At 43.6% G+C, this 14,655-nt stretch overlaps 1 annotated feature.

Moving 5' to 3' along the window:
* Positions 3,125–3,346: a silencer, noted in NCBI's record as "fragment chr11:32380174-32380395 (GRCh37/hg19 assembly coordinates)". NCBI's record gives its function as "represses an EF-1alpha promoter that drives an FKBP-Casp9 reporter gene in an ReSE screen in K562 erythroleukemia cells {active_cell/tissue: K562}" and the evidence as "EXISTENCE:reporter gene assay evidence [ECO:0000049][PMID:32094911]".

The following is a 14,655-nucleotide window of genomic DNA, read 5'->3' as shown; positions in this document are numbered from 1 at the left end:
TGACTGAGACAAGATCTCAGTGACATGGGAGTTTGACACAGAAATTCAGTCTCATTTTAGGAAAATAAAGAGGTATTTCTTGTGCTCTTGAAATTCAAACCCACTGCATGTATCACTTGAATGAATGAGGGATCCCATGGCTTGCCCTCTGTACTTGTTACTTTCACTTTCCTGCAAAAGTCAACTCTGTTACAACTTCGGCCACTGTCCTGCTACAACTGAAAACTCTTTCTTAACTGTGGAAGTTAGGAAAATATATTTTGGCCAGCCAGGGTGGTTGATGCCTGTAATCTCAGCACTTAAGGTAGGCAGATCACTTGAGGTCAGGAGTTTGAGACCAGCGTGGTCAATATGGTGAAACCTCGTCTCTACTAAAAATACAAAAATTAGCTGGGTGCAGTGGTGTATGCCTGTAATCCCAGCTACTTGGGAGGCTGAGGCAGGAGAATCGCTTGAACCTGGGAGGCAGTGGTTGCAGTGAGCTGAGATTGTGCCAATGCACTACAGCCTGGGTGACAGAGCAAGGCTCTGTCTCAAAAAAAAAAAAAATATATATATATATGTATATATAATCTTTTATATATAATCTTATATATATTATATAATCTATATCTAATCTTTTAATTATATATAATCATATAATATATAATCATATATAATACATATGAGTATAATCTTTTTTTGTTTTTTTTTTTGAGATGGAGTCTCCGCTCTGTAGCCCAGGCTGAAGTGCAGTGGCATGATCTTGGCTCACTGCAAGCTCCGCCTCCCAGGTTCACACCATTCTCCTGCCTCAGCCTCCCGAGTAGCTGGGACTACAGGCGCCCACCACCACACCTGGCTAATTTTTTGTATTTTTAGTAGAGATGGGATTTCACTGTGTTAGCCAGGATGGTCTCGATCTCCTGACCTCATGATCCTCCCGCCTCAGCCTCCCAATGTGCTGGGATTACAGGCGTGAGCCACCATGCCTGGCCCTATAATCTTTTAATTACCCATACCACAGCAAATGTTTTAAATCTAACATCTTGATGGATACCCCAAATACCCTGACTTGATCATTACACATTCTATGCATGTAACGAAATATCATGTGTCCCGTAAATGTATAAAACATTACATATCAATAAAAAATTAAAAGGATCAGGACCCAGCAATTCCACTCCTAGTTATACACCCAAAAGAACTGAAAACAGGTATTGATTAAAAAACCTATAAAAGAATATTCACAGCAGCACTGTTCACAGCTGTCAAAAGATGGAAACAATAAATGTCCATCAACCAATGAACGGATAAGCAAAATGTGGCTTATCCACACAGCAGAATATTATTCTGCCAAAAAGGAATTATGTACTGATACTATATTGATATGTGCTATAACATGGGTGAAACTCAAAAACACGCTAAGTGAAAGAAGTTAGACACAAAGGTCACATATGGTATGATTCCATTTAAATGAAATATCCTGAATAAGCAAATCCATAGAGACAGAAAGAAGATTAATGGTTGCCAGGGGCTGGGGAAAGGCAGAGTGGAGACTGGCTGCTTACTGGGTATGGGTTTCCTTTCAGAATCATGAAAATGTTTTGGAATTAGATAGAGGTGATGGTTGCACTAATTAAGAATGCACTAAAAGCCACTGTATTGTACACTTAAACATTTTAATTTTATGGTATGTGAATTTTACCGCAATAAAAAAAATTTAAAGGATCCTTTGGGCTGCTGTGTGGCGAATAGACAGAATTGAGGCCAAGGCAAAAACAGGAGAGCAGTGAAGAAGCTCCTGCAATAGTCCAAGTGAAAGATGATGGCAGCTTGAACAGGCTGATAGTGGTGGAGGTGATGGGATGCAGGAGAATTCTGGATATACATATTTTTTTTTTGAGGTGAAGTCTCGCTCTGTCACCCAGGCTGTAGTGCAGTGGCACGATCTTGGCTCACTGCAACCTCTACCTCCTGAGTTCAAGCAATTCTCCTGCCTCAGCCTCCCAAGTAGCTGGGACTACAGGTGTGTGCCATCACAACTGGCTATTTTTTGTACTTTTTTTTAGTAGAGATGAGGTTTTGCCATGTTGGCCAGGCTGGTCTCGGACTCCTGACCTCAGGTGGTCCACCCTTCTCAGCCTCCCAAAGTGCTGGGATTACAGGCGTGAGCCACCGCACCTGGCCTGGATATATAATTTAAAAGAGAAGTTCCTCAATATCCTCTCTGAGGGATCCTGTGGGCTGTAGACCCTCTGAAGCCCTGGTAGTTCTGGCTTCTTTCACTTAGCATGTGTTTGAGTTTCACCCATGTTACAGCATGCATGAGGATATAATTCCTTTTTAAGGCTGCATAATATGCTATTGTGTGGATATACCACATTTTGTTTATCCATTCGTTGATTAATGGACATTTGATTGTTTCCACCTTTTGACTTTCAGCTCTGAGTGAGACTAGATTTAGGAAACTTACGTGTTCCCCACCTAAAGGCAGCCACTGAGCTCAAGGATGGCCACAGTGAATAAAGTGCTATGGGCCATAGAGACATTTTGTCAGACACAGTGTGTTGATAGTCACATTCTCCTCAATGAAGGATTACACTCCACTTAAGAGTGGATAGAGTTAAATCTCTATATAAACTGTTTTCTTCCCTTCCATCAATAAACATTGCTTTGAGAGACAGCCAAATACGCTTATAGGTCTTAATTGTTCAGAACAGTGACTAAGCCCCACTTGGTCAAGATTTTCTTGACTTAGCAGCTGTCTGCAAAAGTGACAAATTTATGATTTGAGAGCAATTTCATTTTTCTGCCTTAACCACACAATAATTTGTGGGAATTAGCTACCTGATAAGATAAGGGCCGGGGGTGGGGAGATGTGGAGGGGAGGGGAAGGGGCATTCAATACCCCTCAGTGTTCCAGGGAGGGCGTTGGAATTTTTGGAGCAGTCCTGGACACACTGCAGGGACCATTAAAGGATTAACCAGCCCTGACGGAGCGGCTGCACAGCGGTGAAGTTAGTAAATCATGGGCGGCCGGGTCATTATCCCGGGAATTAGCTCAAGTTGTATCCGCAGAGACACCAGCTATCAATAGGCGTCTCCAAGGAGAACGCCAAAACCCGACGCTGAACTCCAGCACTTGAAGGGCTGAGACTTCCAGGTCACAGGCTGCAGGGCTTGTTCTCTGTTTCTGGCACAGACCTTCTCTCTCCAAAATCTCAAATCCTGCCTTCACTATCAGCACATTTTTGTGGGGGCAATCCATTGCAAGTTTATTTCTCTCCCCCAAATGGTATTAACTGTGGGGTTAGTTCCTTTAGGGAAAAAAATGTGCCAAAACACAATTACAAGCACTTACTGGAAAAAAAGAAAACTTTTTCCATGGCATTTGTCAACACAGAGATTTAGGTTTTTGCCTTTTCTTTTTCTTTTTATGTGGTTTTTCTTATTACTTGGTGGAGATGAGAAGGGAGAGTGTTATTTCATTGAAACATAGAACTACTAAAAAAAACCCTGACTAATCCATCTGGCCTATGGAATATGAAAGTACTTGACGAAGGCAATAAGTGGAAATAAAAAATGTATATTAATTGCTTGTGTTTCGCTCCCCAGATGCCCAGCAAAACGGCAGCAAATCTTTTCCCCTGACCCTCTTCAAGACATTTATTAATTACGCTGCCGAGTGAGGCTCTGTTTGAGGAATCTGTCTCTGTGTCCTCATGGAGTTTGACTGCCATCTGAAAGAGCAATTTTGCAGAAATAGGGGATTTTGTGTTGCTGGTTTAAGGGCTCTTAGGCCCCTAATGCACCATGGCTGAAGGAGTGTTAACAGATGAAGTAGAACTATTCAGCCTGATTCAGTCAAGTAACCTGCTACCAAGCGAAGGTCCTGAGGGCGTCAGGATCAGGGGTGGGTTTCTTGATAAATAAATGATGAACACGCCCACTGGGAGAAGGGGACACGTGTGGTGGTTAGCAGTCCAGACCTCCGCAGTCCCAGGGCCTGGATGTAATCCCAGCACTGTCACTTTTTGTCTGTGATTGTGGACAAATCACTTGATGTCTCTGAGTCTCAGTTTCCTCATTTATAACATGAAGAAAATAATGGTAACTTCTACTTAGTAGTTGTAAGGATTAGGAGGGGTCATAGCTGTGAAGTGTTTAGAGCAGTACCTGGCATAGCATAAGAACTAAGAACATGCTAACTGGCTATGGTTATCTTTGTTTTGGGGGGCAAAGGAATGCTTTTTTTGCTATGCCCAGGACAAACACAGCTCATGCTCAGGGACAGTTTCTGGTTCAATGCTGGACTGTGCTTTGTTTGTGGCCACTTTTCTGATCTCAGCCAGGGGAAAGAGGGGACAGAGCACTGGACTTGGGGTCAGAAGACCTGGTTCCAAGTATCTTCTTCTCCACCAATGAGGTGAGCAGACTTGCGAGAAATTTCTTACCCGCTCCAAGCCTCAGTTTCCTAATTTGTCAAGTGGGGACACTCATCTGGACCTCACTGATGTATTGTGAGGGTCACATTAGATAACTAATTCATGACACATGTGGCTGTGCTGTGTAGGCTGGAAAGTACTCTATGAATAGAAGGTGGTAGCAGTCGTAGCTGGTAATAATGACATCATGGACTGTCAATATCATGGATTGTCCCTCTGACAGCCTTGGTCCCAAGGAGAGACTGGGAATGGAAGATAGGAAAGATCAGAATGATCTTAACTCCATAAATGCCTTTACTCCCTGGCAGTGAGACAAAAGTATCACCCTCGCCCATAGAAGTCAGGTAGATCTTTGCAGAGATAATACCCCTCTTGCAGCAGCTCTGCCTGCAACACTGAAATCACACCAATAATAGTGAACTTGATCGCTTCATTCTCCTGCCTCCTCTGGAATAGCCATTTTGAAGTGCGTTGAATAAACCCCTGTCCGGCTCTAGTGCCAAAGGATGGGCCATGTGCACAGTAGGTGGAGTGACGCCAGTAAATGTCACTGGCCTCCGTTCCCCAGATCCAGGCAGAAATGGAGCAGAAGCTGGCGCAGGCCTGCTCTCCACAGCTCATGGTTTCATGGTGGGAGGAAAGCAGCAAAGACAGACCAGGACTTAATTCAGAAGAAGTCCTGGTCTCTTTTTTCCTTGCATGGCTGAGCTCCCTTTAATGCACTGTGTGATGTGTTAAGCTGTATGGTTTTGTAAAAACCCACCCCTAAAGCAGTGTGTGATTTCTGAATGCAAAGTGCCCTATTTAGAACTTTCACAAGGTCTACTGCCACCTTAGCAGGAAGCAGCTCTGGGTCAGATGGGAAGACGGTCATGATTTGGAACATGATATATCTGATTTCTATACCTTCCTACTAAGAATCATGCATGCAGGATCAAATACCCACAAGCCTAAGACTTCCTGGAACTATACCTAGCCATGGAAGTGTGGAAGCTGGGTTTATCACTACCCTTTCCTGTTTCAGCTCTATTTCTTTCACATGAGGACCCACCATAGGCTACGATCTCTAAAAGCAGAGATCTTGGATAAAAATGCATTATGTTATAGCACAGGTTCCAAGTTAACCACAAATGAACTGAGGAGGCCATTCTACATGACCAATTTGCTCTTTCTTTATTTTAGACGTATTTTATCAGAAATACATTTCCAAATTATTCCACTGCCACCTACTTGAACTCTTCTAAATCCAGCAACCCTATATCTAAAATATCCTGAGCTAGACCTCCCAAATGACCTCATATTCTGCCCCTTATATTCTAACCCACACAGGCTCTCAATCCAGTACTGGTTCTCAATCCACATCAATTGCCCAGGAATGGCAACCACATTGTCTGATTCAGACATGGCCATGATTTCTAGCTTCATTTTAAAAAAAAACTATTATAAAAATAATGTGTTTGGGCCAGGTACAGTGGCTCATGCCTGTAATCCCAGCACTTTGGGAAGCCGAGGCGGGCAGATCACCTGAGGTCAGGAGTTTGAGACCAGCCTAACAACATGGAGAAATCCCGTCTCTACTAAAAATACAAAATTAGCCGGGTGTGGTGGCGCATGCCTGTAATCCCAACTACTTAGGAAGCTGAGGCAGGAGAATCGCTTGAACCCGGAAGGTGGAGGTTTCAGTGAGCCAAGATTGCACCATTGCACTCCAGCCTGGGCAACAAGAGTGAAACTCTGACTCAAAAAAAAAAAAAAAAAAAAACTGTTTGCTAGATAAAATAATTCTAAATGAAGTCTATAGAATACAAGGTAAAAGTAATCCTTTCAGTTGATCCTCTACCCTCAGACACTGAGTGCTCATTTATATATAACATTTAAAAGAAAAATGGAATCTTGTTATATGTACTGTCTGCAATTAATTTTCTTCACTTAAAATATATTGGGTATCTTTTCATAAATATAAATTTTAGAGCAGGAAAGTGGGGTACATGAATCCCCGGGGGAACCATGGATGGACTTCAGGAGTTCAGGACCGTGAAATTTTATGTGAATACACATGTTTGCATTTTCCAGGGTTCACGGTGTTCCACAGGTCTCAGAGGACTCACCCCCAAAATGTATAAGCAAAAACACCCCAACCATGTGCGCAAGGCTTTTTTATACTGGCTGCTCTAAAATCACAGGTAATACTTTTAGACATCATTGTTGAATTGCTACTGTGATATATTAGTCTAATGATGACTTTTATGAAATTGCCTTTAAATGCTAAGTAAGTTCAAGCACAGAAACTCAAGTTAACTCAGTAACTTGCTCAGTAGACCACACTGTACCTCTCTTTGCTCTGTAAATTTTGTAGCAGCTTTGGGCCAAAAGCAATAAAATCTGACCTGGACAAATCTCTGTAGTAACAACTGTGCTATTATTGGGATCCCTGTGCTGTAAGTCTGCATGATGTTCCATCCAAACAAAATGGAGCAAAAATAGAGCGAAAAATCATCCCTAGTCAGGATGATTTTAGAAGAAGGAAGGACAAGAGGAATTTAAAGTCTGTGTTGCAGATCAGTTTCTAATTCCTTTCTTCCTCCAACCATACTACAGGCCAATGAGTTTAAAACACGCTTAGCAAATACCTCCAGCCCTGCTTTATCACGACTGGAAATTATCGTGTTAATTTGCATGTTTCCTTGTTTATTACTTGTATCCACAGGCATCCCTTAGAATGTAAGCTCTATCATTGGTCCTGGTTGTTGCTGTATCTTCCGTTGCCTAACAGGTGTGTGGCAAATTGTACTTAATCAAATTCAGTTAAATGAATGAATGAATGAACGGAATGAATGTTGCCCTGAACACCAAACTCAGATGAGAGTTTGCCCATGCTTTCTGATCTCCAAAAGCTGTGTCTTACCATGAGCCACAGTCCCAAGTTTATAAAGGACAAACATAGTAAGGTGCCTATTTGGAAGTTGCAACTCAGGACTGCAGCATCTCAGCCCTAAGCGAGCCATTAACTCTAGTTGTTAAGGGGATAACAATGACAAACATCTTTTCCATTCCCTAATTGTGTAGTGGGAGAATGATGCTTTTTTATTTTTAACCTCATCCTGGGTTTTAGGATGACAAAATGCACCAGGGTGTACCATGCAGTGATTTCACCCTGTGACACAGTGGGAGAGGTTGCGTGGAGACACGAAGCAGCTGCTATGCTGTTCATTGGTACCCTGACCCTGTTCTTACCCAAAGCAGTCAGCAGCCTGTCCTCTTGGCCTGACCTGCAGCCTGAAGCTAGGTAAGGCAGCCAAGGCTCCAGAGGGAGAAGAAGTGCTGCCCCACCCCCAGCTCCCACCCCACCCCCTCTCTAGCGCAGCCATGTCGTTACTTGGACTCATAAATCCTGAACCAGTATTTGATCCCACAAAGCAAGATCGTGGTTATCTGGGTGGATAGGCCTGTCACGGGGCCTGTAGACAAACCACAGCCAGGCTGGGCCGTACTGGATCATTAGTCACCAGGACAGAAGTTCTGCCCCGGGTCAACCCCAGGGCCAGTCCAGCTCTGGCCTCAGACAGGGCCCCAGGAGGACAGCTCATTATTGTTCTCAGGAACTCAAAGTCAAGCCTTCCATTCTTTTGGGAGGTGAGGGGGGGAGGTAGGTGAATAAATAAATCTCTTGCATCTGTCTGCAGTGCTGTTCAAACTCTAGTGTGCCTAAGAATGATCCGGAGAGCAAGTTATAAATGCGGATGATCAGACTCCATTGCCAGAGATTCTGATTCATGGATCTCATTCCAAGATGACACTCCAACCACCTACAAACTGTCTGTGCCACATCTCAAAGACTGGTTTCATGCTATCTAGCCATCGATACCCTCACCTCCACCCATCTACCCAGCCTCTGTGTAGGAGGCTGGAGAATGGTGAGAAGGTAGGGTGTCTCTGGAATTCTGGAACAATTTGGTACACACTTTTCTGCTTTAGGGGGTAGATGACAACTGCATGAGCAGGACTGGGACCTAAGAGCCAAGAGGGCAGAGCCTGGAACTCCTGGGGCTGCCACTGAGAAATGGGTTAGCTTCTCTGATAATAACAATAATAATGACGATTCATTGGCTACTTCTACCTGCCAGGTACTGTGCTGAGTGGTTTCTATGTATTATTTCCTAAGGCAACAACCTTGCTTGATAGGATCATTGTTATTCTCATTTTTCAGATGAGGTACCGAGAGGCTAAATGACTTTCTTTTTTTCTTTTTTTTTGAGACAGAGTCTCGCTCTGTTGCCCAGGTTGAAGTGCGGTGGTGAGATCTCAGCTCACTGCAACCTCCGCCTCCCGGGTTCAAGCAATTCTCCTGCCTCAGCCTCCTGAGTAGCTGGGATTACAGGCATGCGCCACCACGCCTGGCTAATTTTTGTATTTTCAGTAGAGACAGGGTTTCACCATGTGGCTGGTCCCGAACTCCTGACCTCAGGTGATCTGCCCTCCTCGGCCTCCCGAAGTGCTGGGATCACAGGCGTGAGCCCCCGCCCCCGGTCTGGCTAAATGACGTTCTAGCAAGTGTCATTGCCTTTACTCCAGCCCCAGCAGGATGATTTTGGACACTGTACTCTAAACCCTTGTCTCTCCAGGCAGCCCAGATGTGGGCTAAGGACTAGCAGCAATGGTGTCTGTGATGATTTTAAAAATACATCCATACATTTGTTGATTTTCTTCCTTTCAAGGGATGGGGCTTAGTTTCTCTCCCCTTCAGTGTGGGCTGGAGTTCATGACTCCCTTCTGATGAATAGAATGCAGTGGAAGTGATAACATGTCGCTTCTGGGATTATGTGTAAAAAGGCTACAGCTTCCATCTTAGCAAGAGCCATGATATGGGCAGCCCTTTGGAGAGGCCCACACAGCAAGGAGCTCCAGCCTACTGCCAATAGCAGTGCAGGGAGACTGGAGAGTGCAGCCCCTTCAGAGCCCGTGGTCTGGCTGACAGCTTGCCTGTCATGTCCCAAGAAAGCCCGAGCCAGAATCATCCAGACAAACTGCTTCCAGATTCCCAACCCTCAGAAACTGCGTGATAGAATAAATGTTTGTTGTTTTATGCTGCTAAGTTTTGGAGGTAATTCATTACGCAGCAGTAGACAATGAACACGGCATCATTTGGGAGCTTTTTAGAAATGCAGACCTCAAGGCTCAACCGAGATGTACTGGGTGGGAGGGAACACTGGAGCCAGCCCCCTGCCCCACCGGTGACTCACGTGCATGTTAAGTTTGAGAAGCACTGCTCTAGGCCACTCCAACCTCAGTGAAGCACAGAGACAGAAACCCATATGTACCGCCCAGGGCAAGTCTTGAAGCCAGCTCATCTGTCTTTCCTCTTTCCCCCATTGCTCTCACTCTGTAAGGGAAGCCAGAAGCCTCTGTCCAGTAGCCCCTCCCTGGCTGCCCCTTTTTGCTTGGCTTACTAAGCATCCTACTCCTCCACCCCCAGACCCAGCAAGTGACAAATGCCTCCTTGTACGAAAATCTCAGTAATGGTTTGCTGGAAACAACTCAAAGGAGTACTTTAGATGAGAACCCGGGGGGTATTCATGGATGCCAGATAACACACACATTGGGGAATCACCCAAAGGATATGATGCCATAACATAAATGTGCATTTGATTCTTTTTCTTGATATGAGGCAAGACCACTTCTAGGGATCTCCCACTTGTGGGGATTTCTGATTTAGAAGACCAATTCGACATGTTGGAGAAGAGAGTAGGGAGAGAGGGGAGTAGGGAGAGAGCGGAAGGGCGTGTTTTGGTTTTAAGTTATGAACAAATTGGGATGATTGTTTCTTTTTTACGTCGCTATTTACAATGTATGCCTCCTCTAGGTTATTGGGCACAGATACTTTCTGGAGGACTGAAACTAGCTAAGTTGGCCTTCAGACTGGGGAAGCAGCCTTGTCCACAGTAGGAATCCAGGAGGAAGCTCTGTTGTTTCTTAGCTCCAAGGTGTGGGACATATGGCATGGTGCTGTTACTATGTCAAACAGTTCTTCCTTTGCCATTTTTCTTGAGCCACTAGCCAGTATCTTTGGGAGTGTTTTGGGAATACCGCAGAGTAGTTGAGCAGGTAGGTGATACATGGCTCCGGCCAACCTTTGTAGCTGTGTTTCTGGCCAGTACCCACTGTGTACTTTTTTATGATAGCCAAATGGAGCTTTTTTTTTTTTTTTTTTTTTTTTTTTGACAGAGTCTTGCTCTGTCACCCAGGCTGGAGTGCTGTGGTACGATCTTGGCTCACTGCAATCTTCACCTCTTGAGTTAAAGCGATTCTCCTCCCTCAGCCTCCCGAGTAGCTGGGATTATAGGCATCCACCACCACACCCGGCTAAGTTTTGTATTTTCAGTAGAGATGGGGTTTCACCATATTGGCCAGGCTGGTCTCAAATTCCTGACCTCAGGTGATCTGCCCGCCTCAGCCTCCCAAAATGCTGAGATTATAGGCATGAGCTACCATGCCCGGCCAAATGGAGCTACTTTTTATTTTGCAAAAATATCGTGGGTTTCATACCTAGACCTCTGAGGATGCTACTCCCTCTGCTTGTGGTCTCCTCCTCCCTTTGCATATGGCTGACGAATCACCTTAATTTTCGGCTGAAGAATCACCTCCTCTGAGAAGTCACCCTAGATTAGGTCTCTTGTCCCTCCTTAGTTCTTTGATGGCACCTTGTGACTCTTCCCTTATTCTTTTCATCACTCTGTAAGTGCTGATTTATTTTTCTCCCCTACTTGACTAGGAACACCACTGAAGGGCTGTGTTTCACTCATTGTTTCATTTATCAGAGGGTCTGGCACAGAGTAAGTGCTCAAAATTTATTTTTTGAACAGATTCATGAGTGATCATTCCCTGTGGCTAGAATAGTGCTTGGCCCTGGTCTATGTTCAATAAAGGTTTATGGAATAAATTGTTGTCTGCCACTCATTTCTCCGGAGAGGTTAGAAAATGATGAAGCTCTTGAAGAATGGGGGGCACCTGGGGAATGAAGGCCTTGAACAACTCTGGAAGCCCTTGGAAAACTGGAGACAGTCTGCCTCGGTCCCTCCCTCTTACACTGGAGCTGACTGGAGACTCAGCGAGTGCCCTGCTTTCATCATGCTTGTTGCTTCTCTCACTTCTCTTGACTTGATAAATTGAACTGAACTTTCTGGTCTGAAAGGTGCTGCCTTATTGATTCAAAGGCTGGCAACAGTGACCCCAGCCTAGAAACATTTCCTGGGGATCAAATAACCAGCTCCTCTCAGCACTCATCAATCTGCAGCCTGGCTAAATGTCCACTTACTCTAGGACTTACTACCTGAACCCTAACCCTAAGTCCCCTAGGCCAGGGGATGGCCTGCATAATTTACTGTCATCTTTATTTCCCAGGGTTGTAATTTAGAAGGGCTTGCTGTTTAAGGCAAAACAAAGTAATACTTTGGTTCACCGAAGGCTCTGAGTGGTGCCACTTTCATGGAATAAAAATATTAAGCCCCTATCAAAAATGCTTTTACATACATTTTCTTATCTAGCTTACATAAAATTCTGGAGATAGCCATTAATATTGCCAAGTTATTAATAAGGAAATAAGCTTCAAACAGCTGGACAACATCCTGCAGATTGTTCTCTACTCAGGGGTGCAATGCTCCACTAGATGCTAATAATAAATATAATAGGAATACTTATTATTACTAATTGTTGACATTAGTTCTTAGTTAATATTTATAATTCTAATTATTATATTAATATAAATCATTGCTTTGTATTACTAATTGTTCATATTGTTAAATGAGTTGTTTCTTTAGTGTTTATCATACATCAGGAACTGTATTTAGTACTTTACATAGATAATCTGATTACATTGTCGCACCAATTTTGTAGGTCATACTAGTATGAGGATAATGGGAATATATAACTGCAACCATACTTGCAGATATTGAATCTTACAGAAATTAAGTAACTTGCCCAGGATTACAAAGGAAGTACCCATAGCCTAACCCTGGTTAACTTGACTCCTGAACTGGCATCCCTACTTGCTAATCTGTGAACTCCACTAGGGTCAGGACCAGAGCCATGGAACCTACTGCTCTTCCCTCATGGCCTGGCACAGACCTAGCATATGATAGGAACTCAGTGAATCATTGTAAGATGAAAGCCTGGTCCTGTTTCCAAACTTGATATTCTTTCTAATTTTCCATTCTGCCTCCAACATGAAGAAAGCAGCTCTGAGCTATAGGTTTGGAGGCCAATTGGACCCATTTCCTACTCATCACTGAAGCTTTTTCTCCCCCACTGAACCTCAGTCAGCTCATGGTCAAAATGGTCATAAGGGTTCATGCCTATAATCTCTACTAAAAATACAAAATTAGCCAGGCATGGTGGTGCATGCCTGTAATCCCAGCTACTTGGGAGGCTGAGGCAGGAGAATCACTTGAACCTGGGAGGCGGAGGTTGCGGTGACCTGAGATTGCAGCACTGCACTCCAGCCTGGGCAACAAGAGCAAAACTCTGTCTCAAAAAAAAAAAAAAAAAAAAGAGCTGTTTGTGTTTTTATCACCACTCATGCCTCTTCAGCATGCCATTCTGTGATAATAGTTTCTATCTCAACCTTTATATTTTGCTGTAAAACAAATGATAGCAAGTGGCTCTTTAAGGGAATGATTTTCATTTGGAGTGATTCAAAAGTCTGGCATTTAACTTTTACGGAAAACAGATCTATCTTCTACCACTAAACTAGAGAATTGTTGACTGGAAGTAATCTTACTAAACCAATTAAAAAACTCTTCATGGATCTTTCTCATCAGCAGTTCAGCAATTCATATATCTTTCAGATATCAGAAGAGGCTAATCTTGTGTGTGTTACTAAGGAGTCCACTGTGTATGTTTTGTAAACACACATAGAAGAATCCAAGAAGAAAACCAGGACAGTTAGGAAGCTTGCATCCTCTCTTCTTCCTTATCCTGGGGTGAAATGAAACAGAAGTGGAAGATTATGTTCTTTTCCCCATCTTAATTTAGCAAACTAGGAATTGTTTCAACTGAGTCCTATAAAGATTGCATATGCTGCACAAATATTTCCCATATATAACAGACTTTGGGGTTAGGTTTTTCAGCAGTGAGTCTGAAGGCAGTGCAAAAATATCCCTGTAAAATCTTTTCTGTTTTCAGCTAAAGATTGCTTTCACCATTTTCAGAGGCCTCTACACAATTCAACAGATGTATTGGGTATTGACTGTATCTGTCAAAGCACATAGGGACTGGCATAGAGAGGGGTACCAGCCACAGCATGAGGAAGGTGATCATCAAGACAGGAAAAACGGATGTGAGTGGGCAGGGCCAGAGTAGAGAGAGTCTGCATTGGGACAGCAAGTAGAAAAGTCACTTGTGGGCCAGGCTCAGTGGCTCACCTGTAATCCCAGCACATCTGGAGGCAGTGGCGGCCAGATCCCTTGAGCCCCGGAGTTTGAGACCAGCCTGGGAAGCATGGTGAAACCTCATCTCTACAAAAAAAAAAATTAGCTGGGAGTTGTGGTGTGCACCTCTAGTCCCAGCTACTTAAGAGGCTGAGGTTGGAGGATCGACTAAGCCTTGGAGTTTAAGGCTGTAGTAAGACATGATCACACCACTGCACTCCAGCCTGGGTGACAAAGTAAGATCCTGTTTCAATTACAAAAAAAAAAAAAAAAGGAAAGTCATTTGTGCAGAAAATACTGGTAGCCAGTTACTAATAGCTAACATTTTTTATGCATTTACTGTTTGCTAGACAGTGTGTTTGCAAACACACTGTCACTTTACTTACTTTCTCATTGATTCATCACAACTGTAAGGTGTGGATACCGTTATTAAACTCCCTTTTAAGATGGGACTTCCTTGCCCAAAGCACACCTTTGGTAAATGATGGCATTAAGGCCTAAAATTCAGACGGACCCCAAAGCCCAAGTTCCTAACCACTGCCCTGACCCATCTCTTAATCAAGCAGAAACCAGTGTACTCAGGATGCTGTATATCTGAAAGTAGAAATGATTTTGTAAAGGAAAATGAAGTCTAATTTTCCCGCTGCAAATTAGAAAATTCAGCTCTGAAATCTGAGTGTTGGATATGAAGAGATCAGAATCTTATATTTTTTTCATTTGAATATCCCTGGGATGGACATGTTATTTCAGTGGCCTTCAGTGAGGCTGGGAAGAGCGGGACTTTGATCTGTAACACTTCCACACCC

Source organism: Homo sapiens, chromosome 11 (genome assembly GCF_000001405.40).
Source record: "Homo sapiens chromosome 11, GRCh38.p14 Primary Assembly".
NCBI classification, from domain to species: Eukaryota; Metazoa; Chordata; class Mammalia; order Primates; family Hominidae; genus Homo; species Homo sapiens.
This window is presented reverse-complemented; position numbering and strand designations above follow the sequence as displayed.